At 37.2% G+C, this 26,810-nt stretch overlaps 1 protein-coding gene across 5 annotated transcripts in view; it reads left to right on the top strand.

Annotated features, from left to right (window-relative positions):
- The window catches only part of MACROD2 (mono-ADP ribosylhydrolase 2), a 2,057,682-nt gene that overhangs the window by 1,234,945 nt on the left and 795,927 nt on the right, over positions 1-26,810 (top strand). The gene's annotated exons all lie outside the window — the stretch shown is intronic.

The raw sequence follows: 26,810 nt of genomic DNA on the forward strand, positions 1-26,810 counted from the left end.
ATGTTTAATCTCTATGTACATGCATGAATGTGTGCATGCATTCTCATGCTAGTGTCAGACATGATTTATCTGCAGGAAATTACTCTGCGTATGTATTTTAACCTGAATGTTGTTATTCTTTTAGATTTATTTTACTCTTATTAAACTAATATTCTGTAGGTGGTAGCTGGGTATACCACAGCTCTTCTAAGTTTTATCAGTAGACAAAGGGAGTTCAGAAAATGTGGATCTAATCTATTTCCTTACCAGTAGGCTGAGATGAAAGGAATTCTCTTCTAGCTGGATTTGGAGGTATTTACTCACCTGCTTTTCTTTTGCAACATGTTCTACCTTTATTACATCTCAATTACACCAAGAAAATCAAACTATAGAAAAACACACTGTAAATATCTAATAATAAGTTAATTTGGCTGGAATCCCTTGGTTGTTCCCCCTCCCCCATATAGATTATAGCCTTGCTGAAATTGTGGGGCAGAAAAAATAGTTAAATGCTTGATTTCATAGCAGACTGAATAGATCAGCATTGCTTGATAGTTCACAGAGGTAGTGGTTTTATTATTTGCATGAAGAAATTTTGAGAAGCAGATACATTTAGGTAACCCTGGATGGTTGTTATGCTTTTTGTGCATGATTGTAATTATGAAGTGCATTTTTCAATGCAACATTGGTGATTCTGCTTGAAATAAGGAAACTTTTCATGACCTAATTATATAGCCCTTTTTAATCTTTGGATAATTATTAACAGAGCTGGATATTTTATTTCTCTCTTTGATTTTCTAAAATTTTGTTCGCAAATGGCTCAATACATAAGATCCTATTCTCTCTTAGAGGTGAAAGCTGAAGTTCAAAGAGAATGGAGCAAAGTATACCACAAGACCAGTTGGTTAATTTTGTTCTCTATAGGAAAATAAGAAAAATCAAAACAGGTATGCACATTTAGGGAATAATTAAAATTTTGTCAATATGGCTTATTGATTTAAAAAAGCAAAAGACTGAAGTGCTTGGAAAATGGATATGTAGAGAAGTTTCCAACTTGGAAAATATGGATTTTGAGGCCTGAAGAGAATTTGCTAGTGGAATCACTGGCATCTCTAATGACTTGTTTTTAAAAGCCAAGAAAAAGTAAGAAGTAAGAAGTTTGTTAGAAACAGTATAAAAATAACATTCAACCTTTTAATAGAGAAAGGAATCTCTAACTGTAATTATCTTAAAACAATCGTGTTACTCTATTTGCTACCATTAGGTAAGCAATGGAAGAATTATGGGCTAAGTTAACTTTTTAACAGATGGCATGCAGATGGGCTGAAGTAATGCTCCTGTAATACTCTAGTCATTCTTTGATAGGAATTAGATCTACCTTAACATCTTTGATGATTATTTTGAAGGGCCAATTACATATTACTTGAATGAAATTAGCAGGTAAGGCTGAACTGAATTCATCCCAATATTAGTAAATAAAAATGGAGATAGAAAATACACAAAATGTGGGAAGAAATGTCCAACGAAATTGATCATCATGTTTTGCATGGTAGACTACAGTTGCCATCAAATGTCTTGTCTCTTTTACACATAAAAAAGAAAAATATTTTTCTTTTCTTTCTCCCTCCTTCCCTTCCTTCCTTTCTTCCTTTCTTCCTTTTTTTGGAGTAAATGGGGCTCTCTTCTTTATATGGTGTGTCATGTTCTTGATCACCATTAAATAAATAATAATGCTAATCTCATCACATTCTGATTATGTAGAGGGAAATAGAAAACTTTCAGAAACATGATTATGACTGGATACATGTTTTATAGTATAGGCTTGTATTTTGTCAACTTATCACAATAGATGGTAGACATGGTTGATATAAAAAGCCTGGTTATTAGGATGAAAAATAAACTTAACTTGAACTCATTTATATACATGTCAAAAAGAATTTCTCATAAATCCTTTTATCAGAGTGGCTTAGTGTTTGCTTTGCCACTTATTACTGTGTGACTGTGGACAAGTAATGTCAACATTTTGTAACTTTGGTTTCCACTTATAAAGAATCAGTAAATTACTACTGTTATTGCAGACCTGTCCAACTCATGTGGCTGTTGTTATAGGGATCAGTCGGGATAATGTGTATAAGATAATTGGAGGAATGGAATTCTCTGAAAAGTATTTGACAATGTTACTTCAAATATAAGATGTTTTCACACCTCATGATTTGGCAATTTAAGGAAATATCACTTATTTCTTTGATATCTATTCTGAACACCAGAACTCTAGACATTTACCATGTAATTTCTTGATGTTTTTAAACAACAGGGAAATGTCCAGGAATAAATTAAATATTTGATAGGCACCACTTTTCTGCTAAGGTTAAACCAAAGGCTTTAGGATCACAGCACAGGATCCAACATATATATTCTTATTCTTATTTTACCAAAAGAATAGATTCTTCAAATATTTTTAATGGATGTAAGACAAGTAGTATGATAATTTATTTAATAAATATGAATAAGACCTACTGTGTACCCTGACGTTATCAGGTAACTTCCGTGACAAAGAGAGGATCTAGTGGTTGTTTTCTAACAAAATGTGACTCCATCTTATGACCACCTAGACAAATAAATGGACAAGATCATCATGTCCACTGTGTGATTTGAGAATACTCTGTAGTTCTCTTATCACTTTTAAATATCTTCCCAGAGATGCATGAAATTCCATAATTAATGAGTAATTTAGGATGTTAAGGCATTGTTCTTTCTCTGCAAATTTCCTTTAAAATGCAGATACTCATAAGATCAGTAGATAATTAATTTTCTAATACATTAATATGAAGAAATTTATCAAATTACTTTTCATGTTGACAGGATAAATTAGAGTATGATAAAAGTACTGAGCACCTTAGCCTGGGGGAGGAGAATTGGAGAAAGGTCTGAAAGGAGATGGAGAAAAACAGAAAAAAGAGTAGGGTATAAATAAATTTCACCTACCTCTCAGTTTTGCTAAGAGGAGATCATTCTTGAATAGTAGAGAGGGAAATGTTATAGTCATACATAATTATTTAGAAATAAGATACTGATTTGGGCGTAAGATGTGTTGTGGATAAAAATTTTTACCATGAAAAAATACTATATATTTTATTAACTTAGGGGAAAAAATTCATTACATTTCTGTTCTCCATGCATTGTTTGTAACAGCTGTTTTTTCATACCTATCCACATTTGCTTTAGGTGGTAAAGGAAAAAGATAAATTAATCAACAAATCAAATGGCTCATTTTACGATGGCATTTCTTTTATGAATGATGATTTAGTGCTTAATATCAGGAAATATTTAAATGTAAGATTTTAATCCTGATTCTCCTTCTAATCTTACCGTAAATCGTTTCAATTGAAAAAATATGACCAATCTTTCATGCCTCCTAGACCTAGTCTGTGCAAGTTTATTTCTTCCAAATATTATTCCTTATTCCAAATATTAAAGTCAGTTATTTTTATTTAACCATGAGTTACCCTTGGATCCAAAAAATTTATTTTTATATATATTTATTTATATATATATATATATATATATATATTCTTTTTTTTTTTTTTTTTTTTTTTTTTTTTTTTTTTTTGAGACGGAGTCTCGCTCTGTGGCCCAGGTGGGAGTGCAGTGGCGCAATCTCGGCTCACTGCAAGCTCCGCCTCCCAGGTTCACGCCATTCTCCTGCCTCAGCCTCCCGAGTAGCTGGGACTACAGGCGCCCGCTACCACGCCCGGCTAATTTTTTTGTATTTTTAGTAGAGACGGGGTTTCACCGTGTTAGCCAGGATGGTCTCGATCTCCTGACCTCGTGATCCGCCCGCCTCGGCCTCCCAAAGTGCTGGGATTACAAGCGTGAGCCACCGCGCCCGGCCTATATATATATATTCTTGACAACCTTGAGATTGTTGATTGCAAGATAGGCAAAATTTAAGGCACCATGAAGAGGATAATTAGCAGTACAAACTGGAAATTGGAGTGGGAATAAAAGAAAACTTTAAAAGAAGACCAGGGAGCCTACAGATTTTCTCTGTAAAACCTTGGGAAAGACAAAGATATAGCTGTCAAAAAAGAAAAAAGACCCAGGTTGAATCCCAGAAGTCTAATGCATATGACCTGAGGAATGCATAGTCAGACCAGTGAAATCAAGCATCTAAATTATGTTGATTTCTAGAACAACAGTATATCCTGAAACAATGAAAACTACACATATACATGATATCCTTGGCTATATATATCTAAAACATACTAACAGAAATCGTGTATATTGGTGAAAATCTTGGTGAAATCTCGGGGTGAGCGTAGGGGTGAAGACAAGAAAGAAAAATTTCTATTGAGCCAGGGCTGGAAAATGAAAATGCCTAATTTTGTATCCAATATCACCACGCACTGATGGAGAGGATACATAGATATTTTCTTATATATCATGCTGTCTTTATTCTTTTTGTTTGTGAGCACAGAAATATTTTGTAATGATTTTTATGTGTTTATCCTGACTTCTGTTTCCCTTCTTTTAACATCATGTTCATTTTTAAAAAACTAATCCATGTCATACAAAAAGTATCACAGCAATTTCTTCTTCTAGCACCAGTTAAAAGGCATAGATTTATATTTGTCAATCATATTAGGTATTTGAGAAAACTATTTTCACTGATGAAATACAATGCACCCTGTCTGACATTCTTTGAATGACAACGTGTAATAGAGTAGATGTTTTATTTTGAAAAAAACATAATCTGCATATAAGCCAGATTTTACTTAGGTTAAAAATTATTTTCCCATGAAAATAAATACTAATTGACATAGGAATTTAGTGATTTTATGTGATTATGGGCAGACTAAAACTTGTATGTTTGTTTAAGTGGTGTATGCTACCTGTGATTTCCACAAGCATCATGCTAGATGATTTTTTTGAATGAAAAAACATTGTAAATTTTTGTTAGTAGGAACCACCCAACTTCAATAGGGATCCCTCAGAGCTAACTGATGTTCCTTCCTTGAGTCATAGATCTTGAGAAGCAAGAGCTTCCAATGGGAAAGATGATGGGCCTGCAAATTCAGTACTACCTCTAGGCATTGTGGCAATCAAGCAATTTTGGAATTCTGCATTTAGTTGTTCCACTGTAGTGTAGGTTTTCATTTTAAGGCGTAGTCAAGTGAATCTTATTTTCTTATACAAGTTCCCTTCTGAGAGGGTTGCCATGGCAATGAGTTCTCAGCCTGAAATTCTTAAATGTTGGTTTTATTTCATTATCTGAGTTTCCATTACAGGCCACATCAATCAATGCAGTTCTCTATTCAAGAACACGTCTGCAGCCTTAAAAAGCTGACCCTTTCATTTGGTACCTCTGCTCCTCTGCCTAACTTGATGTCACCATTTCCCAGACAACTCTTCATCTCCAAGAACCCTCTTCTACAGGGCTGTCAATTTGATCTTTTCCAGTTTCCTTTTAGGCAATATCTAGTCTTGGTTCTCACCTGTCTCATTTTCTCATTTATAAAGGGTAATACCAAGTCTCTATGTCTTCCCTGGTTGGGTTTCTAACAGCTGTGTGACTAACAATACTATTAATAAGTAACAAGAACAAAGGCACTTTTGCATTTGTGCATCACTCTACAGTTTACAGCAGTGTATTCCTATACATCATCTCATTTATTTTTCAAATTCTCTAACTTGCTGCCACTGTTACTTTGATTTAGCCAGTGTGGGAAAAAGCTAACTCAAGACTTTTCCTTTCTTCTTTTCCCCTACATTCACGTTTCGTAAGATCTCCTCAGAGGGCACAGAGGTACACAGGTTATTGTTACTGGGAGTGACAAGTGACAGGACAGGCAGCAGAGTCGAGGAGGAGGGCGGGCATGGAATGATAGTAAATTCACAGGCTGTGCCTTGGAAACAGATAGTTATACAACCAAACCCACATTGACAGATCCTGCACAATTTGTGTCTTCTGGTGGCCACACCAGAGAGATGATTTGAGTTAGAGGGGTGAATGAGATCAATCATTGAGCCATGAAATATAGTAATAAGAATAGCAAATGTTTCTGAACTCCCACTTGGTGCCAGGCACTGTGTTTTAGTCATTAATTCTCAAAACAATCCTGAGTTAGAAAATGTGATTTCTTCCATCTTAGAGATGAGGAATATGCACCAGAAGGAAACTGCCTTCCCTGTGGCTCAATTCCTCATCCAAGGATATGAGCCAAAACCAAGGTGATGCATATCGTGATTCTGTTTCTCCACTAGCTAAGCATTATGTTGACGACCGTAACTCCATGCATTCTGTGGGCTATTACACTAACCTGCCATCTGTAGGTTGGACCTGTAACACTACTGGTCTTAGCTCAAGTGAATTAAGGTCTTACCTTGAACAAAAAGTTGAGGTGGGATTTAAACTGAGGTAGTCTAAATCTAGTGGCCTAAGCCACTGTGAAGTTCCTTTTTCTTTCCTCCATTATTATGTGCCTTTTTTTGTCTAAACCAGTGGTTCTCAGTGGGTGTAGCACTGCCCTCTAGGGACCATTTTGTGAGGGTGGTTTTGGGCAGTGACAACAACTAGGGAGTGCCACAAGCATTTTGTGGGCAGGGACAGGGATGTTGTGACATGTGGTCTGGCCAAGCCCACATGGGAAAACTGTCCCTCCTCCCACACAATGTTTTAACGTTTTGCCAGACAGTCATATAAGTGAAAACCTGTTTATAAACACCAAGATACATCAAAACAAAGCCTCTCTCTCTTTTTCACTGTATCCTGGACTATCATGAAAATTAAAGGAAGCTTGTACTTAGTTTGCTTAGAACTTTACCAAGAGTGCCTGAGAAAATTATGCTACAGATGGCCATGCCCAAGCAGCAGGAGAGTTTTTCACACCTGGTTGAGTCCACATTTAGAGAATTTTTTTTGTAGTGATTCTACGTAGTGAAGCAAACATCTTCCTTCTTCATTGCGTGTTCTAGTGTATTCATGCCCTTGTCTTTACATGTTGAAAATAGAATTTTACTATAAATACTTTCATTTTAAATCATTTTCATATCACACTTATGGCACTCTATTGATTTTTTTTAAATTGATGTGTTGTTTTCATTTGGCTTCCCTTGGGAACAGACCCTGAGCCAAGGTGTTGTGTGCACGTGCTTTCTATAGGAGGTGATGACAGGGAACAGCGCAGAGGAGTGGGGATGTGAGGAAGGGAAGAAAAAGCAGCCAGGAGGAGTGGGAGTGTTATAAGTTGGCAGTGTGGACAAGTGGGGCTCTGTCTTGCTGGGGAGCTCTCAGCAACCATGTAGAACATGCCTAGAAGTGGTCCCATCTGAGGGAGGAGAAAAGCTGGACTATTTTTTTTTTTTATCTTTCCCCCTTCATCAGCTGGCTGAGGACTGCTCCTGGGTCATTAACTTCCCAGCATTTCTTATCTGCCCGCTTGGGCAGGCAGAAGGAAAAAGCTCAGGCAGAGAGTGACAGCAAGGGTATTTGCTAGAAGATGCTGTGGATGGGCATGTGCTAGAATGATGAGAACTGGGCAGATATGGGTGGGGCACTGATGCCTGTTTCATGTGTGCAGATGAGTGTTAATATTGATAAATGTCATTTCTGCATAGCAAGGGGACTTTACAAAATATTTGTTATAAAAGGGTTTGCTGAGCCTGATAGAATTGAGAGCATTGGTTTAAGTTAAACAGAGTTTCTAATAGAGCAAAGCTACATTGAATATGCTAAACACAGGTTGCTCAAAGATTTTTATTCTTAAAGTTAGGCATCCAAATTATCTGCTTCTTTAAGCATAGTGTGATATAGATGTCATAAAAATGGTAATTGATGTGACTGGCCTTATATCCTATAGAATACATGGTCTTATGAAAGTGAATGTAATGCTTAGCTAATAGAAAAACAATATCACGTGTTGTGTCACCTTAGTTAAAGTTTTTTCAAGATCTCATAATCCTAACCTTTGATTCATCATGCAAATTACGGAAGAGTTGGCCACCCAAGGTTGAATGCATGTAAAGTTGTCCATCAATCAGAAGACACATATTAGAGGTGAGCAATTTAAGCAGGAGTCTACCTTTGATTTTATTCTAATATAAAGTTTCTTTCAAATTATGTGTTCTTTCAATGATTTGGGAAATATATTGTCATATATTTCCTTCAAAAATCTTACTTTAGGACCGTGATCAATTCTTTTTGTAAGAGTGTCTGAAACTTTTTGCTTTATTTCATCTACAATTTGAAAGAATTATTTTTAGTCACTTGTATATTCTGCAGATGTAAGTCTACTAGCAAGACCAAGAAAACTATGTTTAAAATGAAAGTATAAAACATCTCAATTTGGCTGGATTTGTCAACATAATTATTTTCTGTTCTTTTATCAGGCTAGGGAACATTCTCAGGAAAATCATTATTGGTTTCTACAACAGTGTCTTCCAGAGGAAATACTGGCCTAGCACACTGTCAAAGAGAGTATATTACAGTGAAATTTGTATAGAAACAGTAAAGAGATTTGCAATGCAAGCTTTCATCTTGAGTGCTTTATTTTTCCCTGACCTGAGCGGCAGTTATTAGATCACTGTATCATGAGGAAATAGTCAATTGAAGACACGGACCACAGAGTCCCAAGCCTGACATTAGGTTTGAACAATTGGGCAATTTTGGCATATATCTAGAGGGTTAATAGTATAGAGCAAAGGCAATGGCTTTAAACCAAACATTTTTTCTTGCAAATGTTCAGATTTTTTTTTTTTTTTTTGGAGAGCAATTGCAATGTATGGAATCTAAGCTATTCTTAAGGTGTTGAACTCAGAAACCAAAGGAGAAAGAACAAGTAAAAACAATAAAAAATTTAAAATAAAAACAAATCTGTCAGTGGAAAGAAAGCTTTCTTGACTTGTTTATGTACAATTCAATGGAGTTGCAAAGAGGATTTTTTTTAATGGAAAACATGTCACAGATTGGGTTCAAGCTGCACTTTAGCTATTTTTGTTTGTTTATTTTATACACACACAAACACATACCCTTCAAAACTGTGCAAAGTGAAATATTTGCTTTCCTGGATGTCTTATCAAAGTGGTATAGTTTGAATTTATAATTATGAATTAAGTTCAGCAGTATATTAAACACCTAGATTTCAGCCCATACGAGTAACTTTAGTGCAGTCTCTCCATCTCTTCTGAGCCCATGTTCTGAAAATTTCCCTGCTCCCAGTATACTAGCAGGTAAGCTATCCCGGAGGATGCACAACAGAAAAGCTTATAGACCAAATTAAGAGGCATGACTCACATTGACTCAAGGAGAAAGAAGCCAGGAGAAAGAAAGAAATAGGTTAACACACTTAGACTAGGTGACAAATGTGTGGAAGAACCTCATTTTCTGGTTATGCTGTGTTTGAATGCTCTCTTTACCATCTCTACCCTCTCAATGGTGATGTGGTTATGAGGACCATAGTTGAGGTTTGAACAAGGGAGCATGGCAGATGGTGAGTGCCTGGGGCCCACTACACACACTTGCTCTATCAGAAAGACAGGGGCAAGTGGGCCTGGCCGGTATCTCATCAGTTCATTGGTGAACAGCAGGGGGGTTTACCTCCATTTCTGTCAGAGAAGATGTAAGGCCAAATGAGACTATAATGAGTATCACCAATGGGAGGATAATTTGAGGATAACATTGCTGTCACTCTAGAGGTGACATGATTCATGCTTCTGACCTGTTCTTACCATTCTTTTCCATTTTGAAATGACAGTCTTGTTTGTTCCATCCTTTTTATCATATAGCATGTCTTAGAGGTTACTTAGTACTGCATTTAACACAATTCTATGAATCCTGCCTATATCTCAAAATCTGCTCGCTTAGTTATTATCAACACTTAACACGAGTTATATATCCCATTTGTTTTTATTTTCTTCTATAGAAGAATTGAATATTCTCAAATAATACAGCAAGCATATTACACTTTTTATAAGATGGGATGACAGCTAGGTGTGGTGGTGCACACCTAGAGTCCCAGCTACTCAGGAGGCTGAGACAGAAGGATCATTTGAGCCCACGAGTTAGTTATGATCGCACCACTGCACTACAGCCTCAGTGACAGAGTGAGACCCAGATACCCAGTCTAAAAAGAAAAGAAGAAGAAGAAAAAGGAAAATGGGATAACATATATCAGTAACTAATCATTTTAACTGGGTGATGGGCAGGTTCTATGTATGGACTGAATTGTGTCCCATCAAAATTCATACATTAAATCTCTAACCCCCAATGTGATGGTATATAGAGATGGGACCTTTGGGAGGTGATTAGACTTAAATGAGTTGATAAGGATGGGGCCCTGAAGATGGAATTACTGCTGTGATAATAAGAGACACCAGAGGCCTTGCTTCCCCTGACTCTTGGCTTCTCAAGGATACAGCTAGAAGGCAGCCTTCTGAAAGACAGGAAGAGAGCCCTCACAGGGGAACAGAATTGTCCAGAACCTTGTTCTTGTTCTTTCCAACCTCCAGAACTGTGAGAAATAATAAATTCCTGTTGTTTAAGCCTCCTGGCCTATGGTATTTTGTATGGCATCCAGAGCTGATTAATGCAGTGAGTATGCAGGCATTCATTATACTATTCTCTCTGTTTGTGTATGTTTGAAATTTTCCGTAACAAAGCAAACTTAAATGTTTAAATATATAAAAGAGAATGATAGATTATAACAGTATGTACTTCCTAGGATTATTGTGAGGCTATAAAGAAGGAATATTTGTAAAGTTCTCAGTAGATTACATAGCTTATTAAAAATAATTTACCTGACAGATATGTTTTAAGCAACTATTATGTTTCAATCACTGGTCAAAGTACTTGAGATATAGCTGCCCTTGTGGAGCTTACATTCTACTGATAGCAGTTTTCATTATTGTTAATAGATGGTTTCACATCATTTCTAGATGCTGTGACATTCATTATTATTACATTCTTGGGCAATTATCTCATTACCATTGCATTTTTTTCTTATTTTTGTGATTTCTGAATCTTTAAAAAGCTAAGAAGGTGATAGAACTGAGTAGAGATCCAGCAAGTGGCAATTCTATGAAATAGTAATAATATAACCCTCAGTTAACATACATCCATACAAACAGACAACTATGTAACCAGGCCTGTATTACTGAAGATCATGTTTTATTGGGCAGTATGGTGAATCAATCAGGACGCTGTCTTGCAGAACAAGTGAAACATACCACTACATAAAGTCTTCAAAACAATGAAAATCCAGAAACAGCTTCTCAAGCATTTGATGTTTTTCAATGTAAAAAAATAGATATTTAGGGTATTTCTCTCAAAAAAAAAAAAAAAAAAAGGAATAGCTCAAATCTATGCTAAATACTTTAAATTCCTTGGGCTATTTGGCTACCCTAGGGAAACAAGGACTCATAGAAATTGTGGTCAGAAGCATGAATAAGGAATAGGTGACATGTTCTGTTGCTCACAATAGAACCAATTCTCCATTAGGTTCAGGCTTTATTTTTTTTCCTTCAACAAAATGCAATTAGATTCTCCAAGGCATGTATTAAATATGAAAGAACAGACACTGACTTTGTAGTGGAGAAACCCAGCAGATACCACCATAATCAAGTGATCAAGATTAAGATAATCAGTAATGAGATATGTCAACATTATGAACCTCTTGGTATAATGGATCAAGAAAGACACTACATCACTGCTATGGTATTCTTGCCATAGCCACAGTCCAGTCATAACCATAGTCTAATCATGAGAAACTATAGGCGGACCTCCAAAGAGGGACATTCAACAAAATAGGTAATTAATACTCTTCACAACTGTCAAAATCATAAAAGAAAATGAAAAGCTAGGTTTATTCTTCTCATATTGTTATGGCATATTACATTAATTGTTTTTCAAGTGTTAAACCAGCCATACATTCCTGAGATAAATCCCATTTAGTTGTGTCATGTAATTCATAATCATTTTTATATGCTGTTGGATTATTTTTTATATAATAAGTGTTTGAGAATTTCTGCATCTATATTCATAAGAGATACTGGTCTTCAGTTTGCCTTTATTGTGATGTCTTTGTTTTTGGTGTTATAGAATAACTTCAGAAGTGTTATCTCTTCTTCTATTTTTTGAGAGAGTTTGTGAAGCATTGGTATTCTTTAAATGTTTAGGAGTAGATTTAATAATTTTTAAGCTATCGTAAGAAAACATTTATTTAGTTCATATTTGTGGTATCTAATAAATGACCAAGAAACAGGATCTAGTAGTATATTTTTAAAAATGTAAAAATTAGAAATTCATAGCACATGCATTTTGGTTTTTAAATTAAAAATATTTGCTTACAGGTTTTATTATTTCACAGCTACTTTGCCAAGTTTTCAGGTTGTCTTTCTCAGGAACCACTCTGGGATGGAGGTTAATGTGCAGGACGCTAATATGGAAATGTTTTTGCAATCAATATCTGCAGAAGGGAAGAAGGAAACAGAATTGGGCAGAGGGAGAAGTCACGTGATGATGCAATGTTTATGGAGCATCTGGTGACCCTACTGGGAGCTCTAAAGCTGAGATGATTGTTTCAAAATGGTTCCAAGTTGGTGTGAGGAGTCTAGACCTGTACATTCTGAGACAACCAGTTATTAATGCAGGCTGCACCCAGGAACGAATGTGATCTTGGAATAAGTAGCTCCTCTCAGTCAAGGGTAATTTCTGGAGAGGGCTGACAGCTGAGGGCTGTCTTCTGGCAACATCCCTTGAAGCTGGGGCACTGTCCTGCACAGAGTCTGGGTGGTGCATCACAGCACGAACTGGGATTCTTAAACTGAGCATGATCCTGCTCCAATGCCCAATGTATTTGACAGTTATGTATTCTCTCTTGGATATGGTTTAAAATTTAACAGCTCTAGGAAAATAAGAACTGAGGCAAAATACCTTGCTTCAAGTGATGAAAAGGGTAATAGGCTGAGTATTCTGTATTTACTGGTCAGAGCAGAGTCATTTTGATCTACATGCACACAGTAGAATCGAAGGAAACAGTCCTCATTTTTCTTGGTTATCTGGCTCATTTGCAGGAATAACACACACACATACACACACACACAGGTCAATATATGTGGATCTTAAATAAATATGCAGTGGGGCCAACTTGTAGTGGTTTATGAGAACTGATTGTTAAAATGTCAAGAATTCTGTGAGCTGGCCGGGCACGGTGGCTCACGCCTGTAATCCCAGCACTTTGGGAGGCCGAGGCGGGCAAATCACGAGGTCAGGAGATCGAGACCATCCTGGCTAACACGGTGAAACCCTGTCTCTACTAAAAATACAAAAAAAAAAAAGAAAATTAGCGGGGCGTAGTGGCGGGTGCCTGTAGTCCCAGCTACTGGGGAGGCTGAGGCAGGAGAATGGCGTGAATCTGGGAGATGGAGCTTGCAGTGAGCCAAGATTACGCCACTGCACTCCAGCCTGGGCGACAGAGCGAGACTCCATCTCAAAAACAAAAAAAAGAAAGAAAATTTTGTGAGCTGATTATTAAAACACAGGCTTTATTAAAAATTAAATTTTATAAACTCACAATTTAATAAGTTATATTAAATATGAAGATAATAAGTACTCAATACACAGCAATTCCTAATTACTATATTTTACTATTACCTATGCCCTTTGGTTTATTTATGTCTATTATATTTATATGGTGGAAATAGTATATAATGGTGAATTTCTTTGCATCCTTTCCAATTCTATGTTCAGTGACATCATATAGATAGTATAAAATTTTCCATGTTGGGGCTATTTACATGGCAGAAACCAACAAATGCTAAAAATCAGGGCTTGATGTACTATTTTGCTGGTTAATGAGACTTAAGAAATCTTGTCAGTGCTATAAATATTAGAGAAAAAGTACACTAGCCATAGTAAGGTGATCATATTATTACTCATCTAATAGCAACACCAAAGCAAAATCTGCTAATTTCATGCATAAGTGATGGTTTTTGTACCTGGACAGCAGGGATACCAGGGGAAGGCTGTCAGCTGCCTAGTTTGGGTCTGGAGACATGGAAGACTTTGAGGTGGGGAGTGCCAGTTGGTTTGAGGCCCCCCTGCACCCCAGATTGCTGTTTTTTATGGTTGAATAGGCAGACACTTCTTTCCCTCTCACTACTGCAAGTGTATCATTCCAGAAGGTATGGTTTGGCCAAAAGGCATAGTATTCCTAAAGAAAGGAGTTCCAATAGCTTTTCTCTGCTAAAAGATCTCAGGGTCTGATTTTATTTTGATATTAAGAATTTTACCTAACTAAACCCTAGTACAACATTTTTTTAAATTATGGGTAATTAAAAACTTCCATATTTTAAACAGTAGTAAAGGCACACTCTGCAAACATTTCTGTCTGCATTACCTAAAATTTAATGGATCAGGCAAATGATACAAATTAGGCACACATTTGCCAATATTTTTAATTAGCCTACTGGTTTACCTGCATACATTTGTTACTGTAAGTTATTACTTATAAGAGTTACTTCAAATTCAAGATCAGCAGAACTCTCCATAAAATTATATACCTGTGGCACTATCACCAAAATATAACATCATAGACTTGTCATAAATAATTCAGAGATTTGTTGTAACCATTCAACATGGTAGTGTTAATGTGAGACATGGAGAATTAGCATTTGAAATGGATAATTCCATATTTATTTCATGCCTTCATTTATTTTACACATTTAACTGCTTTGGTTTAAATGGAAGGAGAATCCTTTCTCAAAATTCAATCTCAGCTGTCTTCTTTTCAGGTTAATGGTTGATTTCTTTCAAATTACAAATCTTGGTTCAACATAAGGATGATGACATATTGCAGAAATACCTTTCTATTGCTTGAAATGAGAAAATGTATTTACTTATTTTCTGTGACAAGTGAGGGGGATGCTGTTATGGCACTCAAAATGTATTTATGGTATTTCTATTAGAAAAAAAATCTCAGGAACTAATTATGAGGCAAGGCACTGGCAATTCTATTGTTGTATTCAAATAACTGTGTGGCAACTTTTCCAATTTTGACAAATTTGGCTTAAATAATAATTCAATGATGCCCCTCAAGTTTCAAATACAGACAGTCCCTTACTTATGATTTTTTAGTTTTATGATGGTGAGAAAGTTATATGCATTCAATGGAAACTGTACTTCAAGTGTCCATGCAACCATTCTGTTTTTCACTCTCAGTACAGTATTCAATAAATTACATGATATATTTCACACTAAATTATAAGCTAGACTTTGTGTTGAATGATTTTGCTCGACGGTTGTCTAATGTAAGTGTTCTGAGCACATTTAAGATAGAGTAGGCTAAGCTATGATGCTTGATAGGTTATGTGTATTAAATGCATTTTCAACTTACCATGGGTTTATCGGGATGTAGTTTTATCATAAGTTGAGGAACATCCAGATTTGCACTTTTCTAACAGCCTATGTTGTGAGCAAATTTAAAGACACTGTGCTTTCAGACAAATTAAGAAGCATTTTTAGGAACTGGATACTTCAGCTTTAGATAATAGTGTGCATCTTTCTAAAATAACTCATATGCAATGGCATGAGTAGACATGTCCAGATGTAACGAACCATAGGCTAGAATCATGTCCTAAAACAATCTAAAGAACTACAGACACATATGCCTTTAATGCTAATAAATCGTCTTATCTCAGTGTCAAAGCTATTACTACAATTTAAGTTTAACCTCTTTGGAAACTTTCTGTTAGTATATTGGTATTTTGGTGAGTATATCATTAAACCATTAACATAGTGAATAGGGTGCTCATACATGAATGTAAATGTGAGTGTATGTGTATGTGTGTGTGTGTCTGTGTGTGTGCACTGTGTATCCACATCACTTCCTTTCCCTGAGTTACCAAACCTGAGTTTTTTAGGGGCCAGCAATCCATGCCTTTACAACACTCTGATGTTGATGTGGTTTTATAATATCTTTGTGGTATCACAGAAAGAAAGTTGACCTAGAAATCTGAAAACTAATATTTGAGTTTTGGCCTTTCTAATTAATTGCTGTGTAAGCCCATCTTTTTATTTTTTTTTATTAGTGAAATGAGGAAAACAAGATCTTCCCTTAATCAAATCAATGGGAAATAACAAGGGTTAATGAGGATATTAAAAATTTGAAACTCTTAACCACTGCAGTGGATGCGTAAGATGATATAGTTGTGGAAAACAGCTTGGCACTTCCTCAAAAAGTTAAACACAGAATTATCTTATGATCAAACAATTCCACTTCTAGGTGTTTACCCAAATAATTGAGAATATAGGTCTGCATATAAACTTATACACTAATGTTCATAGCAGCATTATTATTAATAGCAATAGCCCTAAAGTGGAAACAATCCAAATGTCCACCACCTGATGAATAGATAAACAAACTATGATCCATTTGCAATAAAAAAGAATGAAGTACTGACACATGGTACAACATGGATGAATCTTGAAAATGTTATGCCAACTGAAATAAACCAGTCACAAGAGGCCTGATTCCATTTATCTGCATAGGAAATCCGTAGATACAGAGAGTAGATTAACGGTTGTCAGAGGCTGGGGATAAGAGATGGGAATCAGGGAATGGGGTGTGACTGCTAATAGGGTATCTTTTTTGAGGTGATGGAAATGATCTGGAATTAAATAGTGATGATGATTGCATAACTGTGAATATACTAAGAACACTGATTTGCACACTGTTAAATGGCAAATTTTATGGTATTTGAATTATATTACAATTTAAAATTTAAAAACCTTGTCCTGTTTATCCTGGAGGATTGTTGTAGGAATGAAATAGAAGTGGAAAGTTCTATAGGCTCTAAATCATATTCAGGAATCCATGCCATTGCATGGTGAAGCACGTAGGCCTCAGTGTACGCAACTTGATAAAGAGAGTTTGCATGAAAAGTCATCTTTATGTTGGGTAATTGGGGGTGTCACATGGAGGGTTATCACTCAGAATGCTTGCTGTGAAGAGCTTTATAGAAGAGTTATATAAATTACACACAAAAAAGTATTTTTTTAAATGGAAAGCACAAGAGAGATGGAGATAAATCGAACTTTCTGTTGGGACCTGCCACTTTCTGCTTTACATGTTAATAGTGACTGTATAATAACTGTCTTCCTAGGCTGCGAAACCCTGAAGGATGGAAGCTTCGTGTGGTTCATCTCCATTACTCTGCAGCACCCTGCGTATAGAGAGTGCACAGTTAGTAATAAATGAGCTTTGACAGATTTTTTTTTTTTTGAGACTGAGTCTCACTCTGTCGCCCAGGCTAGAATGCAGTGACACAATCTCAGCTCACTGCAACCTCCACCTCCCAGGTTCAAGCGATTCTTGTGCCTCAGCCTCCCAAGTAGCTGGGATTACAGACAAGCACCAGTAGGCCTGGCTAATTTTTGTATTTTTAGTAGAGACGGGGTTTCACCCTGTTGGCCAGGCTGCTCTTCAATTCCCAACCTCAGGTGATCTGCCTGTCTTGGCTTCCCAAAGTGCTGGGATTACAGGCATGAGCCACCGCACCCAGCCAGACTTTTCTTTTTAAACAATATCCTGTTTGGAATTCTAAGCAAAGTCAGCAGGCTACTGAATGGACTTCAAGCACCACCCTCTGGGACTTCACAGGCTGCTCCTCTCTTGTTTAAATGTGGAAGGATGGAAGCTCACCCCAGGACTCTAGGCAAAGCCAGAACTTGAGGTCAGCGCATCTCACACTGCCTCTAGGCCACCAGGGCATGTCTTTTCCAAACTCTCTTAGGGCTGCTCTCTGTGACTTTCCTGGTGTGATCCTCAAGCCGTCCTCCCTGCATCTGTCTGTGTTTATCTCACTTGAGCTCACTGCAGTACTTGACACTTGTGGCCATTCCTTTAGGATGCTTGCCTCTCAGCTTCCAGGACACCACTCTCCTCTCTTTCCTCCTTCCTACTTGGCTGTTTCTTCTCAATTGTCTTTGTGGCCACCTCTGGCTTAAACCCTCTGTGACTCCTTTGTTCACCCTTTGCTCTTCTTGCACAGCAGTATATCTTTACTTACCAGTACCAGTCAAACCCTAACACTGGTGGTATAGGGGCTTCAGTGACTACAAGTCCCTGATTCCCAAATCATGGCTCGGCTAAGACCTCTGTCTTGATCTCCATTACTGAATATCCAACTACCTGGTGGAAAATTCCATTGCATGCCCCAGAGTCCGCTCAGTCTCAGTGTATCTCAGGCAACCTGCTTGGACTCCTGTAACTAATGCCATTGTGAATGTCACTGACATGAGTCTTATGCAGTCAGAAATCCAGGAGCTGTTCTAGGTCTCTCTGCCTCACCCCTCTCCTTCCAGCCAGTCATCTCTTGCAGTCCTGTAGACACCCCCTCCCCCACAAGAACTCTCATATCCTTTGTCTTAGTTTCTGTTCTCTCTGAAGCAAACCCTGAGAATGAGACAAGTACTTGGTTACAAGGAATTTATTGGGTAGTTCATTTTTCCCAGGAAGCTCCATGAGGGAGTAGGGAAGTGAGACAGGGAAGAAGCAAAACCAATAAAGAGTGTGTTAACAACCAGGTGATTGCTAATGGCAACTGGGGCACAGTTTAGCTGGGGAGCTTCTGAGAAGGCACGTGGAAGCTGCTTCAGAATTGCCCCGCCAAAGGACAAGGACGCTGAGGTATTTGTCTACCAACCCCTGTCGCCTCCTTGTTCGAGATCTCCCTCTTGCATAGCTAGCACCTTGAGTCAGTGATCACCCTCAGGCAGTCTCAGGAGGTTATCTGTGGCTATGGGAGTAGTCTGCAGGGGAACGCTGCAAAGACCAGGAGCAGGGTGACAGCCCAAGAGCTTCTGTGGTACTGTCTTCTCTACTCTCTCCCAGCCACCATTTTCTGTCACTTCTCAGCTGAACCACTGCACTGGTCTCCTTGAGACTTTAAGGTTTTTAAAATTTCTTTGTAACTTTTTGCACATCCTGCCAGAAAGATTCACACACACACAACTGACCATAGCATACACTCCTTCCCTCTGATTAGAGATCTTAGAGGCTCCTCAGAGTTTTCAGGATGAAGCCTGATTACCTTAGCATGTGCTTCCCAATACTCCAAGGCACCCAAGGCTCCATAGCAATTGCATGGGGGTTGGACAGGATACTGTAACATTTGAAAAAAATGCAGTTCTTTAACATTTGTTGGGCATCCTGGTAACTATTAGTTTAAAGGCAGTCTACAGTTTCAAAATTAGATCATGCAACGTTCCTTTTCTTGATGCTACGTTATTTCCAAGTTGAGTTCATGACTATTGCTGTGATTAAAAAGCATATGCAGAATGACAATCCATGTGGAAAAGGAAACATGGGCGGCAGGGGCCGAGCTGGTTCAAAGGTTTGAGGATTTGCACAGCGCCAACAGGACCACCATCCCATTACCAAATAATTGTGGTTATTTAAGAGTGAAATGTAGGTATTATTTTTCCCTTTATATGTATGACTTTTAAAAATAGGTACTGAGCTGTTAGTATTAAACCCTTACTACGTTGTTTAGACTTATCTACTTAAGAAAAGAAACTTTTAAGGCATTTCTTTACCTAAGGCCCTGGCCACCCTCTTGTGTCTCCTCTGCTGCCACTCTTAAATACAAATTTTTGGCTACCTGGAAGGTCCAGGAAGGTCATCATGCCTTTGTTTGTGATAGCACAGACTATTCCATCTGTCAAGATTACCTTCCTCACCTCCCCACCACCTTCACCAGCCCTACACCACACAGCTTAAGGTGCACTTCTGCTAGGATGAGTCTCTGATTAGTGTTTTTTGCCCCAGGTATTATTTTGTTGCCTCTGTGTCTGCACAGCCTTTTGTACACAGCTTTTATGTGGCAATATTCTTACTATACCCCCACTGGTGATGTACTTGTCTATCTGCCACATTGTTCCACGATTTCCATGAACTCCATGGGCACAGACGTTGCATTCGCTTTGACTTTGCTGGCATTTTTTATTGGGATTATGTCCATTTAGCTTATGATAAATTAGCATGAGTGCCTAAGATGGGATATAGATTCTTGAAAAAAGGTGAACATATAAGTCAAAGGATTGAGAAAAATGTAAGAATGTATGTGAAATAATAAGCCTTTACTCTTTTTCTTCTTGTTTATCATTTCAACATTTTATGTTGTGATTTTCTGTGTATATGCCACAGGACCTTTGCATATGCCATCCTCTGTGTTTAGGGGGATCTTCCTTCTCCCTTCACCTGAGTTACCTGCCTCCCTTCTTATCCTTTGGATCTCAGCTCTGTCTTCTCTTCCTTGGGAAAAAGTTTTACATTTATATTTGTATGCTTATTTGAATATTTTTCTTCTTCCTCCCCAGTTCATGAGCTCCATGAGGGTAGGGACAAGGTCTGCCCTGCTAATTATTGGATCCATAATTGAGTATATTGCCTAACATGTAGCAGGCATTCAGTAAATGTTTGTAGAATGAATGTAGAATGAATAAATGAATGTTGAATCTATGAAAGCTTCATGTTTGCATCAAGACCTGATGACTATTCTGAAGCAGTGGGATGTAGTTTTTCCAAGAGAGAGTAGGAATGTTGTCTACATTGTGAGAACAGAAAGGATTTAGGCAAGGGCCAGCAGGGAATGGAATTTTAGTTCCAAGCTTGAAAGAAATTGGGAATCATTTTAGGTTTCCGAAAAAAGGGGTAGGGGTCAGATGATCAAAATTGGGCTGAATGCAACACAGAAAGTTCTGTTTATTTAACCACTTGCAATATTTCACTTCAAAATGGATTCCCTGCCACTGAGAAGCTGCCATGTTTTCATTTGCTGGAACGTGGTGAAGTTAGATAAATGATAATGCCATGTCTTTGTTCATTCCTCAGTTAGAAAGCCTCAGCCTTAAATGCTCCCCAGTGCAAATTCTCACTGAATAAACATGGAGTGTATTGTTTTACAACATGCTGCTCAATGACATTGCAGCACATTTGGCACTGCTGAGCATTTCAGGATGAGGAGGCAGAAAATAACAACAGCAAAAAGCCCATAAAACAAATTGCATCCCCTATATTCCTTAATGAAGGACTTGGGTGTAAGTTGCATCAACGTCAGAGAATACTCATTCATTGCAAAGGTTTGGGAAAATCATATTTATGCATAATCTCCTTGTTCTCAATGATATTTTATTAATATTTATTTCCCTTTTGCCTTTCATCTGGTGTTATCTTCTTTTCTTTTTCATCTTTATTTTCCAAGTGACTAGCTGAAAAGAAAAACAGTGAATCGGTGCTAAGTTGCTATTTTTTCAATTTTAAGGGACTGATTCTTAATCAAGTTACTATTTTAAATGTTTAAATTGAGAAAGTTCCGGGTAACAACCTAAAAAATGTAAATACATACCACACAGTTAATTAATGTTTCTGAATTGCTACTGTTTGAAGTTGATAAGCCCCATGTATGAATTCCTCAGCTCAAAGCTGAGGGAGTTATATTAAGAAGACAGTAGAAAATAAAAATAATTAGCTAGTGTTTTGTAAGGAGGGAACATAAATGGTATCTGTGTGGCTCTAACTTTATCAATTCAGTCTGTTGATTTCAAAATTCAGTCATTTGAGATATTTGGTATTATGCAGATTTTAGGCAGCATGTGAACAAAGGGCTAAGGTAAGGATTATTGTATTGCATGTATTTCTGTGAACTAATTTTGAGGAGCTATACTAGGCTTCTGTTTTATGTGTATCTATAAGCATTTTACAAAACAATTCCATATGTATTGCTAATTAAATAAATTCATCTCAAAGTTTGTTACAAACTCAATCAAGTGTTTGAGATGTAGAAGGAACATATAGTTTAATCCTGTACCAGTCAGGATAGCCTAAGTCATGCTGAAGTGGCAAGTGATCTCAACATTTCTGCAGCTTACAGCCACAAAGATTGAGTTCTTACTCAGGCTAGATGTCCATAGAGGCAGCTCCAGCTCCACTACACATCACCTTCACTCTGGGACTGGCTGACAGAGCTGTCTCTCTCTGGAACTGTTGCTTGTCACAACAGTGAGAGAGAGAAGGCGGTTCTTAAAGCTACATATGGCTTACTGTCACATTTCATTAACTAGAAGAAGTCATTCGGCCATACCTACATTGAACAGGACAGGGAGACAAAGAGGGATAATCCTCCCTCAGGAAAAAGGTATCAAATACTTGTGATTAGTCTACCACTCACTCCTTCATATTTTGGATATGAAAAACATCACCAGAAGGATTAAGAAACTTGGCCAAGATCACTTGCAAAGCTGGGATTGGACCACATTCCTGTGACCCAATTGCAGACATTCCTGTGACTACATCCAGTGTCTCCTTGTATGCAAATTTGTGGACACACCATGGCATCCACAGACTCACCAGAGAAGGATGCCACCTACAGAGCCAGCTGCTCACCAGAGCCTGGCTTGCATCATGGCATCACTTTGATGGGGTCAGCATATTCGCCCCTTGACTCTGTAGGTCCAAAATTTGCATCTGTTAATGTATGCTGTATCAGTCAGGATTCAGTCATGGAGGTAGAACCGTATACATTTTGGTGCAAGGAATTTATTATAGGAATTAGTACTTAAACCATGTGGGAGGAACTAGGAAAATGAAGAAACAAGGGAGGAGTTGAAGGCCAAACCAGCTACTTTGATAAGCCAAGTGTGTTCAGTCATCAAAATAGGCAGGAAAGGGAAGGTTTTTGGGAGTCCAGTGGGATGTTGGGCTTCGGTGTGGCTACCACTGCTGTAGGACCACCACTAACCATTTAGGTAATGCCTATGGCTGCTTTTGCACTATGACAGCAAAATTGCATAGTTGTAATTAAGACTCAATGACCCACAAGCCTATGATATTTACTATCTGGCCTTTTACAAAGTTTCCTGACCCCTGGTCTATAGTTCAGAAGATTGATTTGCTGATCTATAGTAAGAAACTCAGCTATGCAGCAGGTCCAGCAACTACACAGTTCCAAGATAAGATATCATTTCCCCATTGTTAAATCTATGTGCAAAGCTAACTTATGATTAAATTATGGTAAGCTTAACTGTAATACAAGGAATCATTTCATACTATTTGTAAAGCAGTGAACACTAGCGTAATAAGTTATGATCGTGGAGGCTACCACCTGCACCATCCATACCCCGAGGGCTGGACACTCATAACTATGGGTGAGGCCATTCCTTCCGCTGGGGCAAGAATAACTATAGATGCCTATGGGAAACTGATACAATCTCATTCTCTACACTTCCTTTATATGCTGAAGGTCACAATCTTTATTCTTGCTTAGTGAAGAGAGAATCGACTGAGCTACATCCACACACTATTCACCATAATGAGAATTGGAATATTACTTCAAATTCTGCAGTCACCGAAGCAAAATCTGTAACAGGGTGGATTTCAAAAATTATTTTTTATCAAGGCATAACCTCATTTATTTTAGGTTCATGGATGTAATTTTATTCTCCAAGGTAACCTTATCTTCAAATTTTATAGGTCTCATGCTGTCCCCCATCCTGTATCACCTACAGGTGACTTTTCCTTGATATGACTTATAGAACATTAACAGTGCTTTCTTTTCAATCATACTCCGATTTGGTTAGTTCCAACTTAGGGGACACTTACTTTAAAATGTCTCTTCACCCTGCAGGAAACGAGTTTATTAGTGAAACTTTCAACGGATATTTTTATTCCATTTATGCCATTTATCTCTCCATGCCTTGTGAGGCAAAGGAGTGGTGTTTCACCAGGTTAAGAGGTAATTGATCAAGATTCAGTTCAAAAAAAGTGTAAACAGTACAGATCTTAACTCTCTTCAGTACTTTTAATCAAAAAGGAAAATCAAAGCGTATCAGCCAGAATCATCAATAACTCTTGGTGGATGTTCAAATGCAGTGACCTCTTGACACTTCCACTGCCTTCAGTTTTTGTTTTTATCATTTGTTGCTTAGCAGCACGGGGGGAAAGAGCAGGACTGTAGCTTGGATTTAAGCTCCTCATTTACTAGCTGTGCCCTTTTATCAAATCGTTTAATACTGGGAGCCCCACTTTTCTCATCTGTAGACTGGGGATATTAATGGCTCCTATCTCAAGCAGTTTTAAGAGTTAGGTAAGTTGATATTGAACTAATTTGACATTAATGTTAAATACTTATCATAGTACCTGAGTATACCTGAGGGCATATCCTTCATTCATCTAACAAACAAGGTGCTAAAGACACTATTATAATTATCACAGTAGTTCTATGAGGTTGCTATGATTATCTTTTTTGTTTGTCTTTTAACAAAGAAACAGAGAATCAGAGCAGTTAAATGACTTCCTTGGTCATAATCCTAGAGAATTTTAGAGCTAGAGATAGAATTCAGATCTATCTGACTACAAAGCCCAAGCTTGTGGACTTACCCTCCATTTGTCAAACGTGAATTCCTTGAATTGTAAACCATTTGGGGCCAAAGCACACCTTTTTTTTTTTTTTTTTTTTTTTTTCAGTTAAGAAGCTGGTAATTGAGTGAACACAATATAGTGGTACTTCAGTTAACTGGAGCTCCTGGGGATACATCATTCTGGACAGCCTAGCATTCCAGAAAGCTTTGGGTATTTGCCAAAACTTTAAAAATGTTGTTTAATTTAGATAGAACCCTCCATAAAATATATATTTCTCTATCTTCTTAAACAGATTATATTGAACCTGATTTAAGATTACATTAACTCAGTCATTTATCATCGTGAACTTCATTTTTATCCTGTACTCTCTAATGTAAGAAGATTCTGAGGTTTTATTGAAATAAAGAGGGATATCATTGACCTAGTCTGTTATGCATTTTTAAGTTCCTGTGTTTGATTTGTAAAGTTTAGGTGCTTCCTGTCCAAGCACTTGCCACTTCTCTTTGCCTATTTGAATTGTCAGTCTCCCACAAGACCACCTGAAAACTCTGTTGACGAAGCAAAACTAGGTTTATTAAACCTATGGTACAATTGGCAATCATCACTTTGACAGTCTTGGCAGTATTTCAAAATGAGGGAATTAGGTTGACATTTACATGGTAGGGTATGAACTGGGTGGTTTTAAGGTGAGTCTCACAAGATAGGAAATTGTCTGGGATTGGGTAGAGTTGATAACATAAGAGCTCTGGAGGGCACAGTGAGGTGAAAGATTTAAAGCAAGTGTTGATGATCAAGTCATTGGTAGTAATAAGCAAGCTCTTTCAGTTGGGTCACAGTTATATTTTACAAGAGCACGTATTTCTTTGAGTAAGAAGCTCAGTTATTTTTGCCTAGTTCCAATATTAAAATAGGCAGGTATGTCTGATCCCAGGATTGTATGGTATAAGGACAAGAAAGCATATTGATTTGGTCTCTCACTTGACTCTATGTCTTGGTGCTTCTACATGCTATGGCATGGGACACTCAAAACTGGAACTGTATGGCAACAGAGATCCAGTAAAAGCTAAGTGGGAGCCCAGGAAACTGACTTACACACATGAGTTTTGTGCTTGGGCTTGTGACATCCATTTTTAAAATGCAGAGACTCCTTTTTTTCACTCCTTTTTTTCTTGCTTAATCCCTGGATATCTTTCTAATGTCACGTAGCCAACACCATCAACTAGGTGAGCATCAGTTAGGTATCTATTTCTGCACTGGGAATCTTGAATTTATAAATCCTGGTCAAAAGCGAGTTAAAGAGATTTTTAAACAATTACACAAAGTAATTCTTGTGTTTTATTTATTCAGTTTATATTGAGTTTTTTGCAGCTCTTACTCTCCTCTTCTTTTGTGTTTGAAAATTTAAAAAGTGATGCTGTTTGGACACGAGATTTGTTTTGTAAACATGAAATTTAGAATGTCTGGGGATTCTATTAACACTTTTTGAAAAGATATTGCCTTGTTCTAGAGTTCTTGAGCTATTATATAATTGAAGTAAATAGCCTGAGAACATAGGGATTTGGTGTGGAATACATGGAAGATAAAGTGATCAAGCAAGTTTAAAATATACAATTAGTACCTAAAATAAAGTGAGTATTGTTTTACATCTTCAATCTAGTAGTCGGCAAATAATAAAAAAAGGTCAAAAGTCCCAATTATATAGTAACTATCGAACTGGAAAAAGAAATGAATTTGACTCTTACTACTTAAAACTTTTAGCTGTTTATAGTAATTTAAACCAATTGAAAATAAATGTTCCAGCCAGCAAAAATCCTTTCTAAGAACTATGTGTGGTAAGAGGATACAATAAACTAATCAAACAAAGTTTCTGAAGTCTCATTAACCACGGAATTTTTAGTGAAATGGCATGGATATGGTATACTTGGATTTATTTGGAAATGACAGAAATTTCCTAACAATATTTGAAGCCTGTTTTGGTGAGTGCTATCAAGGGCTGTTTTTCTTTTTCTTTTTTCTAGTTATATATTCAGTACTATAAATTGTTGGCAGCTGGCCCAGAAAAAGAGCCTATTTTCGGAAAAAAAAATTATTCTGCAACTTTATGCTATAACTTAAACACACTAAAAAGTGTGTTTAAATTTTATTGTCAGATTACCAGCTTTTATGCAGGTAGACTCCGTGGAAACCATAGGACAATGACAAAGTTGCTTCTTTTCTTTCTCTTAGCTATTTTTTTACTCTGGATTACGGTGTGGATATTAATATATATACTTTTTATCAAGTATAGGGAACAAAAAGAAAACCTGCCTGCACATGTAATCTTTCTTACAATATACATACCTGTGAAACACCAGATGAGAAAAGCTATGATCTGATTTATGTCATGCGAAATGAATGTTAATAAATCCTATTTAGTCA

The sequence above is a fragment of the Homo sapiens genome, chromosome 20, assembly GCF_000001405.40.
Source record: "Homo sapiens chromosome 20, GRCh38.p14 Primary Assembly".
Lineage (NCBI taxonomy): Eukaryota > Metazoa > Chordata > Mammalia > Primates > Hominidae > Homo > Homo sapiens.